General features: G+C 38.2%; 1 protein-coding gene across 57 annotated transcripts in view, besides 1 other annotated feature; it reads right to left on the bottom strand.

Annotated features, from left to right (window-relative positions):
• Positions 1 to 21,140, bottom strand: part of ANK2 (ankyrin 2) — a 678,115-nt gene that overhangs the window by 297,408 nt on the left and 359,567 nt on the right. The gene's annotated exons all lie outside the window — the stretch shown is intronic.
• Positions 19,529 to 20,029: an enhancer, noted in NCBI's record as "H3K27ac hESC enhancer chr4:113987456-113987956 (GRCh37/hg19 assembly coordinates)". NCBI's record gives its function as "activates a minimal SCP1, AML or CMV promoter by ChIP-STARR-seq in naive H9 embryonic stem cells {active_cell/tissue: H9 hESC(naive)}" and the evidence as "EXISTENCE:reporter gene assay evidence [ECO:0000049][PMID:30033119]".

Here is a 21,140-nt window from a genome sequence, read left to right as displayed (position 1 = left end):
AATTTTTAATTGTGTTGATTTTATGATAAAAAGAGTTTCATTGTACAAAAAACAAGGGGAATCTTGCAGATGTGAGTGCCTTTTATCAATGTCTGAGACAGTTACATTTAAAAGGCAGGCAAAGTGTAGTCAGTGTCTATATTAACAGGATGCAGTGGTTCCTAAATGTGTTCTGAGGCAATTTTAATATTTATATTAAAGATATGATTTCTGTTATACTCTTCTGATCAATGACCAGTTAATATATAACATTGGACCAGCTTTTGTGTCATATAAAAGGAAAAATCTTTTACAGTTTCTATAGTTTGTCAGTAAATTAACTTACAGCCTATGGGGACTTGAAGTTAAAAAATGATCTTGCTAAGTCCTCTATTTTTTTCATCTTTTCCTTTTCCCTCCTAGATACATGCAGAGCTTTTAATGAACTGTTCCAGAAGAATCTATTCCTTTTACAAGAAAATTATGTAAAGGTTCTCTAAAAACACTAGTGACTGGTTTTAGTGCTTAATAACTCTGAAGGAAAGTTCCCCCTTCCTCCAAATTTCTCAGGCCGTCCTTAGGTCTTTGCTGGCATGTGTTCCCAGCCAGGTTCCTCACAGCCAGCCACTCTCTAACAGGCCCTTCAAATAATTGAAGACTTTTACAAAGTTATCTCTTAGATATATCTTCTTCTTGCTTAACATGTTTTGACCTGTCCATGGATTTTAAAATACAAATTCCAAGGCCGGGCGCGGTGGCTCACGTCTGTAATCCCAGCACTTTGGGAGGCCGAGGCAGGTGGATCATGAGGTCACGAGATCAAGACCATCCTAGCTAACACAGTGAAACCCCATCTCTACTAAAAATACAAAAAAAACTAGCTGGGCATGGTGGCACACGCCTGTAGTCCCAGGAGAATGAGGCAGGAGAATTGCTTGAACCTGGGAGGTGGAGGTTGCAGTGAGCCAAGATTGGGCCACTGCACTCCAGCCTGGGCGACAGAGTGAGACTCCATCTCAAAAAAAAAAGAAAAAGAAAAGAAAAAGTCTTAATATCTTAATATCTGTCAGCTCTTGGAATTCTACTCTATAAATACTTAAAAGGCAATACACAAAATATGTCTGTATCAGCAAAATGAATAAACCAGTAATGCTGATCCGTTACTTCAGTCACCTTGGTGATTCTCACATCAACTGCATTTGTGGGCATTTTTATAAATTGTACAACCTGAAAAACGTACACGAATGGCCGTTTCTAGTGTCCAGATAGATCCAGTCATTGCAGATAATGAAAAGAACATTACAGGATTACAATGAGAACTATAATCTTAACAATAATCCTGGATTATTTGGATTATAACCCTTAACAACCCAAAGAATTTTAAACTAGTCATTTAAACACTGATAGTCTCATATTCTTTGTCCAAAAAGGGGCTAAGAACACTTGTTCTGTCTCTCTCAGAGGCTCATTGAGAGGCTAAAATGGCATAAGGACTTGGAAGTACTTTGCAAAATACTATCTGGATATTGTTATTCTTAATTACAGAAATTTAATTTAGCATCATAGAATGTTCATATGTCATAATCACTAAATACAAGGTAATGTGTTGCACGTATGTTCAGAGAAAATCATCTTGCTTAGCAGTTTTATTTGAGCAACTACAGAAAGAGGGAATTTTAGACCTTTACTTAAAAAGTAAAAAATAGTTTCTCCCCTTTTACCCTTGGGAAAAACTATTTTTTACTTTCCAGAGGGAAAAACAGGAAAAACTATTTTTAATTTCAGAAATCCAAAATATCTCCTTAATCATCTAAATGGGACTCTACTTGATGCTATAACATCTCCTCTAGTTCTAAAGCAAAGTCCTAAATGTATTCAATTATGGATTTAATCGCGTTTCGTTTCCATTTTTAAAAATAGCCTTATTTTCAATACCATTACACTGACGATTTTCAGTTGGTGCTTGAATACAGCAATCATAGTCACTCTCTTCCCACAGCAGAGGAAGCTAGCTGACCACCAAAAATTCATGCTGCTTTTTCACAGAGAAGCGTTGTTTTTGGAAAATGACTACTCCATGGAAGACTTCATTTTCCTACCCCTTCTGCATGTGCTTTGACCATACAACAGGTTACAGAATGTAAGCAAAAGAGATGCACGCCACTTTCAGGCCTGGCCTGTGACAATCTCCTGCACCATCCTGCACATTCTCAGTTCCTCAGTGGACCAGCTGGATGTCAACTGCTAACGAGACCTCAGAAGCCAATGGTTAGAAGCAGTCTCTATCAAGATGACCGTGTAAACACATCTTTATAAACTTGAGTCCCCGAACAATCGCAAATCAGAGATACAAGATCCTCACCCCCTCACCCCACAACGATTCCACTAGATTTTATGTGAACAAAATTTAAGCATGTTTTGTGCTAAACCATGAAATTTTATGCTTCTATGTTATGGCAGCTATCAGCCGTAACTCTTATGTCACCTAAACTTTGTATGAAAACTAAGTATCTATTAGTCATTCTCAGAAAAAAAACTCTATTAATTGATTCAAAATACCAGATATATAAAATAAAATATTTTAAATTCTTGCTGTTGGCTAGTTTAATAGGAGATTCAGATTTCTTGTTGCCTAAGCAACAATGTCACTATAAATGAATGCATCTATGTTGTGGTTTTGAACTTCAATGCCCACATGATTTTGATTGGCTCAGAGGGCTTAATAGATTACACACTGAGTGGAATAAATAGTAACCCCTCTCTCTCACTCCTTATACCCAACAGTGATGGGCCTGGATTTTACATCTGGAGGAAGATAAAGACCAGATGCAAGCCAATTCTGCTATCTAACTCAAGAGGAATTAAGAGATTACAGAGCCAGGTGCAGTGGCTGAAGCCTGTAATCCTAGCGCTTTGGGAGGGTGAAGTGGGAGGAGTATTTGAGCCCAAAAGTTTGAGACCAACATAGCAAGACCCTCCATCTCTACAAAAATATTTTAAAAATTAGCCAGGCATGGTGGCGAGCACCTGTAATCCCAGCTACTCAGGGAGGCTAAGGCAGAAGACTCACTTGAGCCCAGAAGATCAAGGTGACAGTGAGCTATGATTGCATCACTGCACTCCAGCATAGGCAACGAAGTGAGACACTGTCTCTCAAAATAAAACAACAATGCAGCACACCAGCATGGCACATGTATACATATGTAACTAACCTGCACATTGTGCACATATACCCTAAAACTTAAAGTATAATAATAATAAAATAAAATTTAAAAATTTAAAAAAATAAAACAACAAAAGAAATTATACAGACATGTACAGTCCTCTCCAGATAAGGGCCAAATGTATATATCAGGAAGTAACTCAGACTGCTTGCCCAGGCTGCCAGATACATTCACACCTTTATAAATGACTCTCAGATAGATTTTGTAATTTTAAGCAGGATCACTTTTACAAAGATGGCTCGATTTTATAGCAAAATTTACATATTTCCTTTCAGGAAATATAAAAATGAACACTAAATATATAAAACGTTAAGAAGAAAATACAAACACATTTTAGAAGGCATTTTTCTTTGTAATATTCACAAGATGCTAAGTAATTGGTCAGACTATTTGAGCCACGTTTTCTCTCTTCACTTTTAAAATATTCTAGTACGAAGCTCTTATCCACAATAGAGGGATACTCTCACATATGTTTCAAATATTGAAGCTGAATTGGTTTTGCAAAAGTACGATTGACAAAATGGAAGGTAAAATTGTGCATTATAACTAAATGCACGTTTCATTAAGTTTTAGTAATTATGCATTTCATCATTAGCCATATAAAACTAATTATTAAATAAATTAGTAAAATGTATAGTCACTAAAAAAATTGAAAATATGATTCTATACAAATAAGAAGGCATGCTTGGCTGGGCCAGGTGGCTCACACCTATGATCCCAAAATTTAGGGAAGAAGAGGCAGGAAGATACCTTGTGCCCAGGAGTTTGAGACTATCCTGGGCAATATAGTGAGACCCCACTCTCCACAAAAAGGGGAAAAAAAACAAGTTTGAAATAGGAAGGCGTTTTTATACCAAATGAAGCCTGAGTTATTCTACACACTTACTGGATATTTAGATGCAAAATATAGACCATGCAAATTCAGTTCCAAGCTAAAAATGTAATTTGGTAAGTAGTATTACCTATATGCAGTAAAATCTTATTAATAGAACTAATTAAAAGAATACATGTTTTCATGACCTGGTGCAGTGGCTCATGCCTGTAATCCCAGCACTCTGGGAGGCCGAGACGGGCGGATCACCTGAGGTCAGAAGTTTGAGACCAGCCTGTCAAACATGGTGAAACCCCATCTCTACTAAAAATACAAAATTAGCTGGGTGTGGTGATGCGCACCTGTAATCCCAGCTACTCTGGAGGCTGAGGCAGGAGAATCACTTGAACCCAGGCAGCGGAAGTTGCAGTGAGCTAAGACTGCACCATTGCACTCCAGCTTAGTTGACAAGCGCAAAACTCCATCTCAAAAAAAAAAAAAAATACGTGTTTTCATGTATTATTTATCCAGCAAATATTTATTGAGTACTTAAAATATGTGGTCACCATACTAATGGCTGTGTATATAAGCATTTAAGTAAAGCTAAAAAAAATAGCTTTGTAAATTCAATCTTTACATTTCAAGTCCCTGTCTATGGTATATCATCTAAACACCCTGATTCCAAAGTAGGAGAACAAGGCAAGAGTCTGCTAAGAATACTTGCCATGGCAGCAAAATTTTCCCCAGGAACTGGAATGATAATAAAATTTTTGCATTAAAAAAACAGATCTTTCTTTCCATTAAGTATTAAGCTTCTTACTTTATTACTAAATGGTTCCTAATGTCATACTACGAGAATCAAGACAGTTGAATTCGTGATTAATTCATTTAAACAGAAGCCAGCTGTATTAATTGGAAGAAAATGCCCAGCCATTCTTGCTGGGCATCAAAGACAGTTAGACTGGAATGAAGTCAAGCTCTTAGAATAAATTAATGATGATTTAGAGGTACTCCTTTCAAAATTAAAGACCATCAATGTGCAAGAAGCTTCCCTATGCACAATTAATACTGAGTTTAAAAATGTAAGGTGGTAAGTGGTACTACCTATGCAGTAAAATCTTATTAACAGAACTAATTAAAAGAAAAGATAGACTGAGTTAGTGAAAACTCTCTATTACATTTTTTCAAGAAACCAAATTCTTTAAAATATACAAAATGATCGATTTCTGGAGTCTGATAAGAATAATACATATTTTGTAAGTAATGCCTTTGAAGAGCTTGAAAATAATTTTTCATTTATTTTATAGATTAAAATATCCTCTTACAATTTTGTTTGTAGTCTCAATGCACTTGTGACTAGTAGATTAACATGGAGGTTACTATACTGTCCCTAATGGGCTTTCCTGTGTCTCTTTCCTATGCCCATCCTCTTCCTCTCCATTCTGCTATGTCCTCTCCAATGCATCCAGGGTTTCACTTTCTTTCACAACTCCGATTGATTTTCTGTCCTAACAAGCCTGATTCCAAACACAGTTCTACAGGGACAAAGGTATAGAGAACAAACTCAATAGGTTGCTCATCCACGAAACAACAGGTGACATGGCAGAGTTAGAAAAACTAGTAAGGAGGCCATGCCAGGAATGAATGCAACAAACTTCTTTGAATATATATTCAAACATTATATTTAATATATATTCTCGAATGGAATGTATATATTCCATTCCATTTCCTAGTATGGAAAGAAGGTCTACCAGACAATGTACTTAACAAACTAAACTATTTTCCCATCAATCAATTTAAGAGGCTTCCAGAGTTTTTATATTCTCTTTTATTATTTCTGAGTTTTAAAACCTTCTAGTGATAAAGAATAACAATGGAAAATACAGGTTGTGAAATGATAAACCGTTCTAAGAAACAAAACCAATTCCCCTTCAATAAGTCACACACAAATCTCTTCCTTGGGAGAACAATGTAGACTGCTTTGTTACAGAGATCATCTCAGAGCCCAGCTAACCACGTGACATGTTAATCATTCTCTAAAGTTACATCAGAGGGCCACAGCCTGGTTACTAAGAACTGCATCCTCCAGAATCAAGGCATTAAGAAAGTCAGGGTGGGCAGGGCATGGCGACTGACGTCTGTAATCCCAGCACTGTGACAGGCCGAGGCAGGCGGAACACATTAGGTCAGGAATTCGAGACTAGCCCAGTCAACATGGCGAAACCCCGTCTCTACCAAAAATACAAAAATTAGCCATGTGTGGTGTCAGGTGCCTCTAGTCCCAACTATTCGGGTAACTGAGGCAGAAGAATCCCTTAAACCCGGGAGGCAGAGGCTGCAGTGAGCTGAGATCGCACCACCACACTCCAGCCTGGGCAACAGAGCAAGACTCCATCTCAAAAAAAAAAAAAAAAAAATTCTCAGGGTGATAACAGGTTCACTTTATTTAAATTAATAGATAAACGACTTTATGTTTTCATCTTTAATTAGGTATCATTATTTTTGCTTTATTGAATTTGGGTAATTGTGGCATGCTGAGGAAAAAGTATAGTAAGAAGAGAGCCCACGTGCAATTGAAATGTTTAATTTCCTCCAACAAGATCACTGTCCATAATGACACATTGATTCAGATAAATGAGAAGAAAGGCAGGTATCAACGAAGAAGTTTAAAAAAGAAGAAATCAATTATAATTATTTCCAAGTTTATTTACTTAAAAAACATTTATTGCAATGTGCCACATAGTGTGACGAGCAGTAAGAAAACTAAAGCACATAAGTCATGTTCCCTGACCACAGATAACTTAAAATCTAGAAAAGAAAACCAAACATGAAAACAAGTAAGTGCAATTTAAAGATGCTGAAATTAAAAGTTTAAGGAACAATTCACAGGCAATTCTATCTGAATGAGTACCTACGGGGACAACCTCAAACACAGCCTCACAGTACATGGCCAGAAGCAAAAAGCACAAAACAACACTGAAAATTGCTCCCAGTTCATGTAGGTTAGAATCTCAAGTTTAAGGGAGCAGTGACAAAATCAAGCCATGATTGTATCCGGGAAACAATCGAGGCTAACAAAGAGCATAATAAAACACTAACTCAATAGATTCCAAGAAGAGTCGGTCAACTATACTGAAAAGGTACAAACTTTAATCTCATAATTCTACTTAAATATATGGACAAGGTCACATGAAGGGCACTGAACCATGAGGTAGGAGGTAGGACCCTTAAGGTCTTGTGCAGTTTCCACGTGTTTATTCTAAGAATTTTGGGAGCAAGTCAACGTCTCTGGGTTTCAAGTTTCCTTTTTTAAAAAAACGTAAATGGGTTTAATGAAATAGCCTTCAACTTTTCATATTTGCAACTATCTTCCAAGATTCTCTCTTTGGGATTTAGAAATCTTATTTGTATATTAAAATATGAGTTTAAGAAGAAAGTAACTCTACTAGTTTGCATTATTTTTATGTGAATGGCTAAACCTAAAATACTCTCTGGCAGTTGGTTTTCCTAAGTGATTAAGTGCTCCTTTTTTAAACTTTGTTCAGAATATTTACAGGTAAACGTTATAAAGTGGTGAGCAGCAGAGGCTCTGCATTCAGCCTACCTGGGAGGTTTCAAATTTGGGTTCACCACCCAAATGAGTGAACTTGAGCACCTTCCTTAATCTTTCCTAACCTCAGTCTCCTCATCTTTAAAATGGCAATAATAACAGTACCTCACAGGACTGATGAGAAGAATCAAAACATATAAATGGTGATAATCCTATGAGATTTCAGGTTAATTTTGGAAAAAAATCATAATCTGTATGATTTTTGACAGGTGGTAACCCCTAAGTTACCAGTAACTCACTGCTTCACTTGACCTTATTTCCCCGACACCACGGCTACTATTGACGAGCAACATCCAATATGCTGATAGAGTAATGTCATAGAGAATCCTCAGCAACTCTGCCTTCTGGAAGAGCTGCTTCTGCCAATGACATCACAGATTGTTAGCTCAATATGCCACTGGCATATGGGTTCACTTTAAGTGGTGATAATAAATACCACTGGGCCATCCATTTACAGTCCATTTTGAGATCACATTACAAAGTAGCATAAGTCCTGGGCATGGCAGGAGGACTGCTGCTATTTTACCGTTCTTTAGCATGATTATGTATGTGCTTGAGAAAGCAACCACATAAAAAATGGGAACACGATCACCTAACAACCAGTATGTTAAAACTGTAGTTTATAAACCACTTATATACTTTACAGGACATAATCAGAGGAAGCCATTATGATTCCTATTTTAAAGATAAACTGATGTCCAATTGAGTTTCCCCCCAAGGGCACTCAATGAGATGTGGCCCTGGATGTGTTTTGGCTTCCTATTTTACATATTTACTGCCTGAGCAGAAGCAGCAGATACAGCCATCCTGGGTGGTGTCTGCTTTTTATGCAGGCATACATTCAAGATACTGGGGCAGGCCTGCTCTTCAGAAGCTTGGGCTCAGGCTATTGTTCTGTGTAGTAGCATGGAGGCCAGCTGCTGGCTTTGATTCTGTAGCCAGTTGTAAAAAGTGAACAAGATTTGCACAGAAGCAAAGTAAAAAGCAGCTTTCGTTGGGGACAGCTTGAACTCAATAAATAGCTCCATTAGTTTAAGGTGGCAGATATGCACAGGGAAACAGAACTCACAAAGGCAATGTTTCTTTCTGCCTTTACTAATTGGATCTAACTTCTTTCTGTAGTTACTGGTTAATAGGACTGGGCAGATGGTCTTTAGAACTGAAGCAATGTTAAAAAGGTTCATTTAGTCCATCCACCTGTTCTTAAGCTGAACCACTCTTAAAACAACCCAGATTTTAAAAATTATACTTCTTAAAATTTTTTTTTACCTAATTATAAAAGTCACATAAACTTATTGAAAATATTTTGGACTATACAGAAAGTTAGAAAGAAAAAAATTAAAACCACCTACAATTTAATATTCAAGATATGACCAATTTACATTGTGTTGTTTTTCCACTCAATTTTTCATGTGTATGTTTTTATCATTATTAAAATTAACTTTTTAAATCTTATTTCTTCTCTTAACATGATATGATGAGAATCTTCTTATATTCAATATTTTGAAAAATATTAATTTAAATGACTGCATTTTTCTCTCCTATGGGTATGCCAAAATATGTTTATCCATGTTCCTATGGTTTGAGAGTTAGGTTTATTTTGCTATTGATAAATAAAGTTGCAATGATCATCTATTTACATAAGTTGTTATTCATGTTCCTTCTTCCCTTCCTTCCTTCCTTCCTTCCTTCTTTCCTTCCTTCCTTCTTTTTCCTTTCTTTAATGGTAAGTAGCTAAGAAAACATCCAGCACCAACCAGTAAAGTCAGATTCTATTATAGGTTTCTTGTAAAAACTGTACAGTTAGTGAATTTTTTCTTACAAAAAATGCAACATGGTCACTAATCAAATCTAATGCATTGTATAATACAGCTGTCTTATTTTTTCAGTTTTTTTTTTTTCTTTTTTTGAGACAGGGTCTTACTCTGTTGCCCTGGCTGGAGTACAGTGGTACTATCACGGTTTACTGCAGCCTCAACCTCCCAGACTCAAGTGATCCTCCCGCCTCAGCTGCCTGAGTAGCTAGGACCACAGGTATGCACCACCAGGCTTGGCTAATTTTTGTATTTTTTACAGAGACAGGGTTTCGTTATGCTTCCCAGGCTGGTCTTGAACTCCCGGGCTCAAGTAATCCTCTCACCTCAGCCTCACAAAGTGCTGGCATTACACTGTGCCTGGCCCAATAGATTACATATGTCAATGCTTAGAATATGAAATCCTACAATGGATACAAAATCATTTTCTAATATCATCTCCTTCAAAAAGGTTGGTGGATCAATCTATGGTTTACTAAGCTTAGGTATTAGCCTGGTGCGTAGCTTTAGTTTAGATAATACTGATACCGAAAGAAAATAGTAAATTCCTAAGAATACAATGCCTTAGCAAGTTTGTCCAACCCTTGGCCCGCAGGCCACATGCGGCCAAGGATGGATTTGAATGCAGCCCAACACAATTTTGTAAACTGTCTTAAAACATTATGAGATTTTTTTGCAGTACTTTTAAGCTCATCAACTATCGTTCGTGTTACTATATTTTATGTGTAGCCCAAGACATTTATTCTTCTAATGCGGCCCAGTGAAGCCAAAAGATTGGATACCCCTGTCTTAAAGCAATGTGTTTTTTGTTTTTGTTTTCTCAAAATGTAGTATTCTTAGTAACAACAACAAAATCTCCTGGAATGCTTGTTTCAAAAGAGTCCTGGACCTTACCCCCAAATTACTGAATCAGATTCTCAGTGGGATCTGGAGTATCTATTTTGAGCAACATCCACTGATATTCTATCGCACACTAAAGTTTGAGAACAGCAGATGATTTTGTAACTAAAGTATACTAAGATCTTGTTGCTAACCATCAGCCTAAGGGTGTTTAAGCAGGTAACCAAATCCAATACGATTTGGGAAAAGGAATGTTTTAATAATTATTTGTTGATAGGCTGCCGTTTCTTAGGTCAGAAGCACTGTAAGAAAATACCCATCCATAAAATATTCTGCCACTTAACAAAACTTCTCTGAATCATTACTTACTGTTACTTGTTTAATTCAGATTAAAGAGGTAAATAATGCTTGCATGCCCAAGCTGAACCAGCTTCCTGTGTGCCTCAAGTTTCCTCTGGAATCTATGAGTTTCCCAGCCTCATGTCTTTCTGTTCCATCTGCCACATGCCACCGAAACCAGTGTGCAATGAGATGGCAGAGGCACAGGAGATCATAATGCATTTTCAGAGGTGATGTTGAGGACATCTTTTTGAAAAGCACAGAAAACATTACCAAGGTCTAAAATGAAAAGATGTTATCTTTTTAGACATAAAGACTGGAACTGGAGAGAACACCTATACAAAGAAACATATTTAGATGTATTAATCACACATAAGTACATTACTATATGGGGATATATAGGGTGACATATATAAAAAGATATGATTGAAAGAAAAGATTATTGCATATCAACACTATTCATCGTTCACAGTCATAGGTAGAAATTTAATTTGTTGAAACGTACTTCTCTACTCTTCTCAATTAATTACTGCTAATAATGTAATAATAATTGAGATGCTAAAGTAGTGCTTCTCAGACTTTAGTGTGTACACAAAGATCTTATTAAAATGCAGACTTTGATTTGTTAGGTTTGGGGTGGGGGCCAACATCCTGCATTAGCTTCATTTCTAACAAGTTACAGGTGATGCCAATGCTGCTCATCTGAGGACCACACAATCAAATAGCAAGATACTAAAGTGCATTTTTAAATCTATGTCTATTTTGCCATATATTAAACATATTTGTCAACCCTGTTGTTTTAAGAGTAACTTTTAGGAGTAGCACATGAGAAAAAAATGCTAAAATATCTCATTACTTCATAAACGTATTTGAGTTCATAGCTAGCTGAAATTACATATTAATGGTAATGCTTTATAATAGCAATCAATACTCCTTTTCTCCTAGCCTTGTGTTAGTCACTGGGTATTCACAGAACTGGCCTTATTCTTTTCTCATCCTAGTCTTTGATCCTCTACCTGGATACCTATCTCTGCCGATCAAAATTTTACACATTGAGAGTCTACTTAAATATTACTTCCTTCATGGAGTTTTTTTCTGGCAGCCTCAAAAAAATGTAATTTCCTCTCCTTTTAAATCATCATACTTTTCAAATAGATAAATGATTTTAAAACAGTGTCCTTTGCATATCTACAGGGACTTGGCCATGTACTGCCTTTTCACTTCCTTTTATATCAGCTGTTGATTCTCAAATCTAATTACATATTATGCACATGAGGAGACATATGAAAAAATACTGAGGCCACAGACCTTACTCCAGAACAATTAAGTCAGAATTTCTGAGGGCCCAGAATTTTTCAAGTTCCCCTGGGAATTCAAATGTGGAGCCACAGTTGAGAATTGCTGTCTTAGATGGTAGGTTCCCCCAGGGCTCATTTCAGTTCAATCAATATTTAATAAGGGTCTTGAACACAGTAAGCAATTAATAAATACACATCAAGTTGAACATTAAAAGTTGCCATATTTGTACACTGGGAAGAAAATGAAAGCACATCAATCAAAATATGTTATTATTCACAACACATTCTCTACAGATATATTACCAATAATAGAGCAAATCCTTCACGTAAAAAAATTTTGAAATTGCTCACATTTTCCTCAACTCATCTGCCATCAAACGTTCACTCTGTAGATTTGGATTTTCCATAAGACTGAGTCCAATTTACTTTTCCTTTTTCAGAAAAGCACTTTTCTCCTCTCTTCAAGTTGAATGGATATTAAAAATCATTAATGGAATTTTCAGCAGCAAACATACTGGAAATAATCAGCTGGCATCCAACGTAGGGCATACTTTTTGCTGCTGTCAAACAAAATTAATCACAAGCTTCCAGCATGCTGCGTAGAGGCGGCCTGGGCACCATTGGATGAGGTGTTTCCGTGGCGTGGCAGCCGTCGATGATCAGCAGGAGAGTCAAGCTGTTTTCAGAAAACACAGCTATGGGTGGCTTCTTTCCCTTCTTTTCTTTCTTCTTTTTAATTTCTAAGGGAGAATCTCCTGGCAATGCACCTAGGAGATTTTCTTGCCATGGAAACAAGACCGTATGCTGTTTTAAAAGCTGACTGTAGAGAAAAAATGCCATTCTTCTTGCTTTGTTCTACCTCTGGCCTGTAGTCTTCTGTAGAATACTTGGGAATTCTTTCTACGCTTCAGGCTGGCATCCTAGTTCCACCTGAATCACATAGGCAATCTAGGTAGATTGATTTCTCCTGGCTGCACAATCCCAGTGCATCTATTCTCTATTCTAGTGTTCTTTTTTTATTTAGTAGAAGTCTAAATTGCATGTGTCCAGTCAAGAATCAGAGCTCCTCTAGTTATTATTTTTTAAATAAATTAGCTGAGGAATATTTATGTGCCAGGTGTTGTGCAAAACTCCAAGAATCAAAAGACACTGTCCCTCAGCCAGACACGGTGGCTCACTACTGTAATTCCAGCACTTTGGGAGGCCGAGACAGGTGGATCACCTTAGGTCAGGAGACCAGCCTGGCCAACATGGTGAAACCCCATCTCTACCAAAAATACAAAAACTAGCCAGGCATGGTGGTGGGCGCCTGTAATCCCAGCTACTTGGGAAGCTGAGGCAGGAGAATCACTTGAACGTGGGAGGCGGAGGTTGCAGTGAGCTGAGATTGCACCACTGTACTCCAGCCTGAGAGATGGAGCAAGACCTCCCCTCAAAAAAAAAAAAAAAAAAAAAAAAAAGACACTGTCCTTGTGACAGAGTCGAGAAGAAAAGCAGGTCTACTAATGGCACAATATAATTGTCATACATTTTGTGATGAAAACAGTTTGAGTAGGGACACTCTAATATTCAAATATCTATAATTATAGCACCCAATAAACAATCTAAACACATAAAGATTAAACACTTGCTGGAGAGACAAGACAGCAAAAAAAAAAAAAAAAAAAAAAATTATGCCAAGTGTCTATTTTAAGGGAAAAAGTCATCCAAAAGTTCTATTAATTTATTACACTCACATTTTGGCTGAGTATTGCATAATGCATTGCTATTGCCTAAACAATTCAGAACCTCCGTACACAATTTAACTGAGGTGCTCTCACACCCTGTCCCCTACCCAAACCTCTGCCTGTAAGCAAATAGTTACAGACTCCTTCTAACTTTGAGAATATCTCATGCTCACTTTATTTGAACATCACAAAGACCAGTCCGGCAGGAAGAGAACAGATTGGCATTTGAACTTTGTAGCATTCAAAAAACATTGCCCCTCTCTACCCACCACCCCAAATTCCAACTGTATATGCTTCTCTGGTTTGCTTAAGTGACTCCTTATGTCTGGGTCTCTGAATCATCCCTACATGCTGGAGATGTCCTGGAAAGGGGATCTGGCTTGAGGACATAAAAATTGTTACAAAAACCAAGTTTTATTGTCTCTCTTTTCCATACCAGGTAACCCTGAAGTTATCATGAAGCCAGAGCTCCATCATTATATCTATAGGGTAATGGCAAAAGTGCTGGGGAGAGAAACACAGACAGTGGAGGGCTGAGTTTTTAGATGCCTACTGATATGGTTTGGCTGTCTCCCCATCCAAATCTCATCTTGAATTGTAGTTCCCATAATCCCCATGTGTCGTGGGAGGGACCAGATGGAGATAATTGAATCAAGGGAGCAGTTTCCCCCATCCTGTTCTCCTGATAGTGAGTTAGTTCTCATGAGATCTGATGGCTTTATAAGGGGCATCCCCCTTTCACAGGGCACTCATTCTTCTCTCTCCTGCTGCCATGTGAAGAAGGATGTGTTTGCTTCCCTTTTCGCCATGATTATAAGTTTCCTGAGGCCTTCCTAGCTACTGGGAACTGTGAGTTAATTAAACCTCTTTCTTTTATAAATTAGCCAGTCTCGGGTATGTCTTTATTAGCAGCATGAGAATGAACTAATATACCTACTCAAGGTAATTGCTCTTCTCTCTGATTTCTCTGGCCCTATGGTGCAGATTTTATTCAAAATGGGAAAGGAGCAGGGTGTACCACTAAGCCTGGCCAGATTGTAAAGCCCTTATAGCAACTAAAAGGAAGCAATGAATCCTCCTGGGGTTGAGGGTAGTGTGCAGGGGACAGAACACTGCGCATGTTAGCTGATCAAGGAAAGAATAAATCTGGATTAAGGAGAAGGTGGATTTGAGTTGAGTCTCGGAAGAGAAGCAAGCATTATCTAGGCAGCCAGGGTAGGCAACAGCCCGGGTAAGGCAAATTACATGGAGATGTTTATGAAGCCCTGCCTGATCTCTTGGTCTGAGTAGAGAACTACTACTGTGCATTTCTGTAGCACTCTCTAACAATATTACCATGGCCTTTATCACAGTGAGTTCTAATTGCTGTTTATTATCTAGCCTACTATCCCGTCTGCTGAATGAGGTTTGAAGCCTGCTGTCACACGCGCCAGTGCTTGTACCTATCCTGGCTGAAAAGGCATCGGGTCTAAACTTCTGTCAGCAACTATTGCATGTAGGTTTTGTTTTAAAATCAATGTGAAGTAATTAAATCATGTGCAGTCTATATTAGAAGCAGTAATTATTTTAGGACTATGGGATGGTTGTCATCTCAATTTAAAATGAACCCAGACTTATTCTTAGGGCTTTATCTTGTCTGTTACTTTGTTCTAAGTAAATCTAACTAGACATTCTTGACTCATAACTTCTCTGGGGTGTAATTTTCTCCTTTATCCATCACCATTACTGTCATCAAGATTTGATGTTATGATGGATACTAAGGATTTACTAAGCAACTAAACACAAGCATTTTGAATGTCTCGGGGGCTTATTGTTTTGGGCAGAAAAGACCAAGGCAAAATGGGATACTAATGACATATACCATAAATTAATTTAATTAGTGTTTAAGTGTTTTCAAAAGACACAGTGCATTTAATGGCAGCCACGAGTGAAATCAGGGAAGTCACACAAGGGAATAAGGTTGATGGATCTTTGCTGGAAGAAAATGTAATGTCGGGTGAACAAGCAGGAGTAGTTGCTACCCAACAAAATAAAGAGTGTTGGATTGGTTGGTTCCAAAGTTATACTGATAAGACTTGTAGGGCAAACTGATAGGCTGTCTTCCTGTCAAACTTATTGCTTTTATGATGGACCAAAACCAGGAAATTCAAGTAAGTACATTTGTGTTTGGATTCAAACTCAGAGTTGCCATGTCTAGTCAGAAGTAAAAGAAAAATTTCAAAGATGGGACAATGCATTTATACTTATTAATCCCAGAGTAAATTATGCCAAGTAATTTTTGGTTAGAAAATCACCACTACCCTTCTAATTAGGACTCATAGTTTCATGATGCAGACTTTTTTTTAATGATAAAGGTGGACAATGCTGGCATTCTAGGAATAGATCTCAGTAGAGTACAAAAAATAAAAAAATAAAAAGCTGATCAACTTTGTCTAGAAGAAGGGAAAATATACCAAGAAACAAGAGAAGCAAATGAAGGAAGCTACATTTTAATTTAAATTTGGAGAATATAAGATGTAACCTCTCTGAGCAGAAAGGCATGGAGCGGAGAGTTTATTCACCAGTTCTCTGAAATGTACACGCAGGATCAGGAACAATATATGCAAGTGGTATAAAGACTTCAGTCTTTTCACCACTTTTCACTGTGGACCAACTCTACTATGGGTGAAATGGCAGGTTGAACAGGACATCCCCCAGGACTTCGGATGAGGTTAACACAAGTGTTAACACAGAGGAGGATAATTCATAGCATGTTGTAAAGCTGGAAATCCCTATGCCTAGAAAACAAGAAGAAAGAAAGGAAGAGGTTCTTAGAGTCAAGCATGAAGAATAGGTAACTTCGGCAGCAGCACTACTGGTTGACTAGACTAATGCAGTCCTTGCGGGAGGCCAGGAGGACTGAATAGAAACTGTGTTAAAGGTACAAGTGGTGACTTAATAGATATCACTGGATAGTTAGGATCTGAAAGAGCAATGACTCACATGTGCCCCTGAGGTTAAAGAGAAACATTACCCTTTTGTGGAAAAGTTTAGTATCAATGATGGTGCAATAAAGAGATGAGCAGCTCTTTCTTGTCCTATTTAGTTTCATTTGGTAGCAAAATACTCCATTTAAGGTATCAGATAGCAGTGCCAAAGGCAAAAGGTAATTTTGGCTTTTAAAAGACTGATTGCAACATGGAACTCTTATGACCTTATGCTGATCTTCGTTGATTGGATTAGCCCGTGCTTTCCTGAAGTACACTTCCTCTTCTCTCCGCCTTCATGACAAGGGTTGCTATTGCACACTGTCCACTGTAGCCTGTGCTGGAGACCTGGAAGATGGCCTGCTCTAATTTGGCTGATTTGGTAGTTCGTGCCAATAAATTTTTAAATTCTACTCTCCAGGTGGCAAAGCTGTTTTATAACAAATTGCTCACTAATTAGGGCATAAATGTTCTTCTCTTCATTTCTCTCTGACCTTGTGCGTTCTCCTCTCCTCACTGATTACCTGCCCAGCAGCTCTCTCCTTGTTCTACAGAATCTCTTCTGTGCTTACCTCACCTTTTACTTCCAGGACTTTGATCCTCATTTCTAATTCTCTCCTCTCCTCTCTTTTCTTTTCTTTTCTCTTCTTTTCTTTTCTTTTCATTAGACAGGGTCTCGCTGTGTTGCCCAGTGCAGTAGCCCTATCATGGCTCACTGCAGCCTCAACCTCCCAGGCTCAAGCAATCCTCCCACTTCAGCTTCCCAAGTAGCTGGGACTATAGGCATGCACCACCACGCCTAGCTAATTTTGAAAACTTTTTGTACAGATGAGGGTCTCACTATGTTGCCCAGGCTTGTCTCAAACTCCTGGGCTCAAGCGATCCTCTTGCCTCAGCCTCCCAAAGTGCTGAGATTATAGGCATGAGCCACCATGCCCAGCTCTAACTTCCTTAATCTGTTCCGTCTAACATCTCTTATTTGACTTCATACCTTTTTTGTTTCCCTAAACCTAAAGTGGCAGTTTATTATCTTTATTGTCTACAGTTTTTGACTCTTAGCCATGTCATTTCTCTCTGTAATGCAAACATACAATCATGTGAGTCATTTCTAATCATTCTCTTTATCCTTATGTGATATCAACTTTACATCTGTAATCTAAAAATTACATTTAAGTGCTTCGCTGTACAATTTTCTAATCAAGTATTCAAATGGTGTTAGGTATTTTTATTTGCTTTTCATTATATGTTTTAAAGTTGAAATTTTCCAAAGTTTGTATGGGATGTGAGTTTGTATGACATTCACAACATATTCAATGGTACAAGCAAACAAGGGTAACATACGCTTAAAGATCCTCCAAGGACTTCCAGTATCCAAATCATTTAAACTTAACAAAGTCACTATCTTCATAATTTATATCATCACTTATATGCAGCACAGCAAGTTTAGACAAAACTAATTGTTTCCATTTTTGTGTATCTCCACAATTGTTTCATTGTGTAGAAGAAATTCACTCATAAGGGCAGGAAAAACTTATGTGCTCATCAAGGCAATAGTGATTGTTGCAAAGATGTGGCTATCAACCTACATCTTTCCAACACTCAGGGGGAAACTAATGAGAAAGAAATAAAAATGCCATAGAGAGAGATGCTATGTTTTGGCTTTCTTTGGGAATGGCTATCCAAATGATCCCAGGAACTAGATAAATAGACTTTTAAGAGCATCCTTAGGAAAAATGCCAGCATTACTGAGTGGCTCCGGGAACATAGTGACTGTGTGATCAGTATTAGCAAGAGTAAGCTTGCTCCACCTAACCAGAGAGAAACATGTGACTAGTTATTTTCACCTTGGCCATGTGGCCTGCCTGAAGTTTTGGAACACTAGCAACTTTAGACTCATGCTTGGGGCCACATATGTAAAGTGCAACCTAAGAAGAATACTTCTTAAAATCTAATATTGGCACACATGTGTGAGGAAATCATCTCTGGGGGCAAAAACATGAGCATGTTCTTTTTCCAGTCCTCCCAGGAGCTCTTCTACCTTCTTTGCCTCCAACCTGAAGACCTCTTCTTAGCTTTCGCTGTAACTGTAGATGTCATTCCAAGACTCTGTCCTCCACCTATGAGGGATTTTATTACTCGTGATTTCAACCTCACCATGCTGATGGTTCCTAAAACTCTATCTGTCCTGACCTTCCTCCCAAGTGTTACACTTCAAATGCTTGCTGGACTTTTCCATCAGAAACTTTAGGACCTACATGTGAAAATCTGGACCCAGTATCTTCCCCTCTGTACCTGCTCCTCCTTTACCATTAGCTAGGTCAGTTGCTAGTACCACCAGCCACCAAATCACCAGCACTACACACCAAGGGGCCATCTTGGACTCTTGTTTCCCCTCCGCCCCCTCCATTTCACTCCCATGTCCCCTCAGTGGCCTGAGCAGACTAATTTCCCTATTCTTCCTACACATACTGCTACATCTTAGTTCATTTCCATATCATGTCTCCCTAGCACTACAGCTCCCTGGGTAAAATCTGTCTCCAGATTTTCCCATTCGCTGCAGTCTCCAGAGTGACAAAAAAACATCTCGCCATGTTTTCCCACTTTTTTAAGCCTTTCAAAGTCCCCTCTGGCTACATAGCATAAAGTCCAAGCTCATAAACATGAGATACAGTCATCTTACACCTGCCAATGCCTCCAGCCTCATTTCTCACCTGTCCTGCTTGTTTTTCACTTCACAAACTAGCAACAAAACACTCACATAATGCTTACTATCGCCAAGCCCTATTCTAAGCACTTTATGTATGCTAGCTCACAATTGTCACAGAAACCCTATTAGGTGGTCCTGTAATTATCTCAGTGTTTACAGATGAGGCAGCTGAGACACAGAGAAGCTCAGTTACTTGCCCAAAGTTACATGCATACACACCTTGCATGCAGCAGAGCAGGTGGTCCCGTTCCAGAGTCCACGCTCTACTCAGTTTGCCCTTCTTCACTGGATGTGCAGGGCTGCTTTCACCACCTCATGAGATGGCTCAGACTCCACTTTCTCCCAGAAGTACTGTCAGTCACACCTGTGCCTGGCTCACTCCTATTTATTCTTTAAAGCTCAGCTCAGTCATCATAGCTTGCAGGAGCTCTTGCCTAGCCTTTTCTGTGCTCCTGTGATAGGCTATGTATGTTTCCATATCACAGTTATCATCTCACATAGTAATCATCTATTTATGTATTTGTTTGCCTTTATGAACCGTGAACTTCTTGAGACCAAGGAATATGTCTCTGTCATTTTTGTATCTTGTATTTGGCACGGTGTCTGGTCATTAAAAGGCATTCAATAAATGTGCTAAGTGAAGAATAAATAAATACATAGATGAATAAAAGGCACCCCACCAGTAACCCTTCGTAATAAGAGTACCATAGTAATTGAACTTCAAACACTTACAGAATGAGTCCAGCCCCTGTGGTCGGCTTGCAAAAACTGTAAGAGGCCTAAGAGCACGCTCACGTGCACGCCTGTGTGTTTTGTGGGGCTGGGGGGAGGAGGGGAGGGTACTTGAATCAAGGTAGAAAGAGACTAAAAAATAAAACTACACACACTGTTAAACCAAACACCTTTAGAGGACATATGTGTTAATGGTTCAACAAACCCAAATATTGTTTCCTCATAATATTTTTATTTCAACTACTTTTTTTGTTTTAGTTCTAATTAAAGATGGTCTTAAAGTATTATAAAATATATACCTGAACCAGGTGAAGCCATCTAATTTCCTGGGGACACCAGAGTAGTGACTATAGTAAAATAGTGCCCCATCCACAAATCACAGCTGAACAACAGACCTAGTTTGGGAGCACCGGTACGACAAGTTCTCATGAAGCAATTGATTAGTAAATATTGGGAAATTAGCTTTTGTGTAATAACGTTGTAGATAGAAGCTCAGTACCCCACTTGATGTTAGAAACATGGCTTGTGCTCACTGCCAAGTTAATCACAAGTCTCCTTCATGCAGTAGATCAGGGGCTTTGCTAAAGCTATACCTCTCCCAAAATCAACACTGAAATTCTCTCTCCCATTGCTAGTTTTGATTGCTCTTTCAGATGACCTGTAAGAAACAGGAAAAACACTTTTCTAGGAATCAAGTAACATGAGTTCTAGGCCCGTGTCTGCCACTAACTACGTACATGATTCTGGCCAAGGTGCTTGACTTCTTTGGGTCTCCATTTCCTTATATGGAATAAGACAGTTAGAACTGGAAATTTCAAGCTTTCAGCTCTAAAAGTTTATGCTCTAAAAAATGAAATTAGTATGAATCACACATTAAAGTCACTTGCATGCATACACACACAAAAGAGAGCACTCACATATATACTGATTTTGCAATAACAAAAATATTATATTTATTATACACATATAGGTGATATCTATATGTTCCTGTAGAATTTGAGAGGTGCTGTATTTGTTTAAATTTCAACTCTAACATTTTTGTTAGAAGTTCTACAGAACTTTCTAACATTTTTGTTAGAAGTTCTACAGAACT

This window comes from Homo sapiens, chromosome 4 (genome assembly GCF_000001405.40).
Source record: "Homo sapiens chromosome 4, GRCh38.p14 Primary Assembly".
In the NCBI taxonomy this organism is placed as follows: domain Eukaryota; kingdom Metazoa; phylum Chordata; class Mammalia; order Primates; family Hominidae; genus Homo; species Homo sapiens.
Note: the sequence above shows the minus strand (reverse complement) of the source record. Positions and strands in the feature narration are given on the sequence as shown.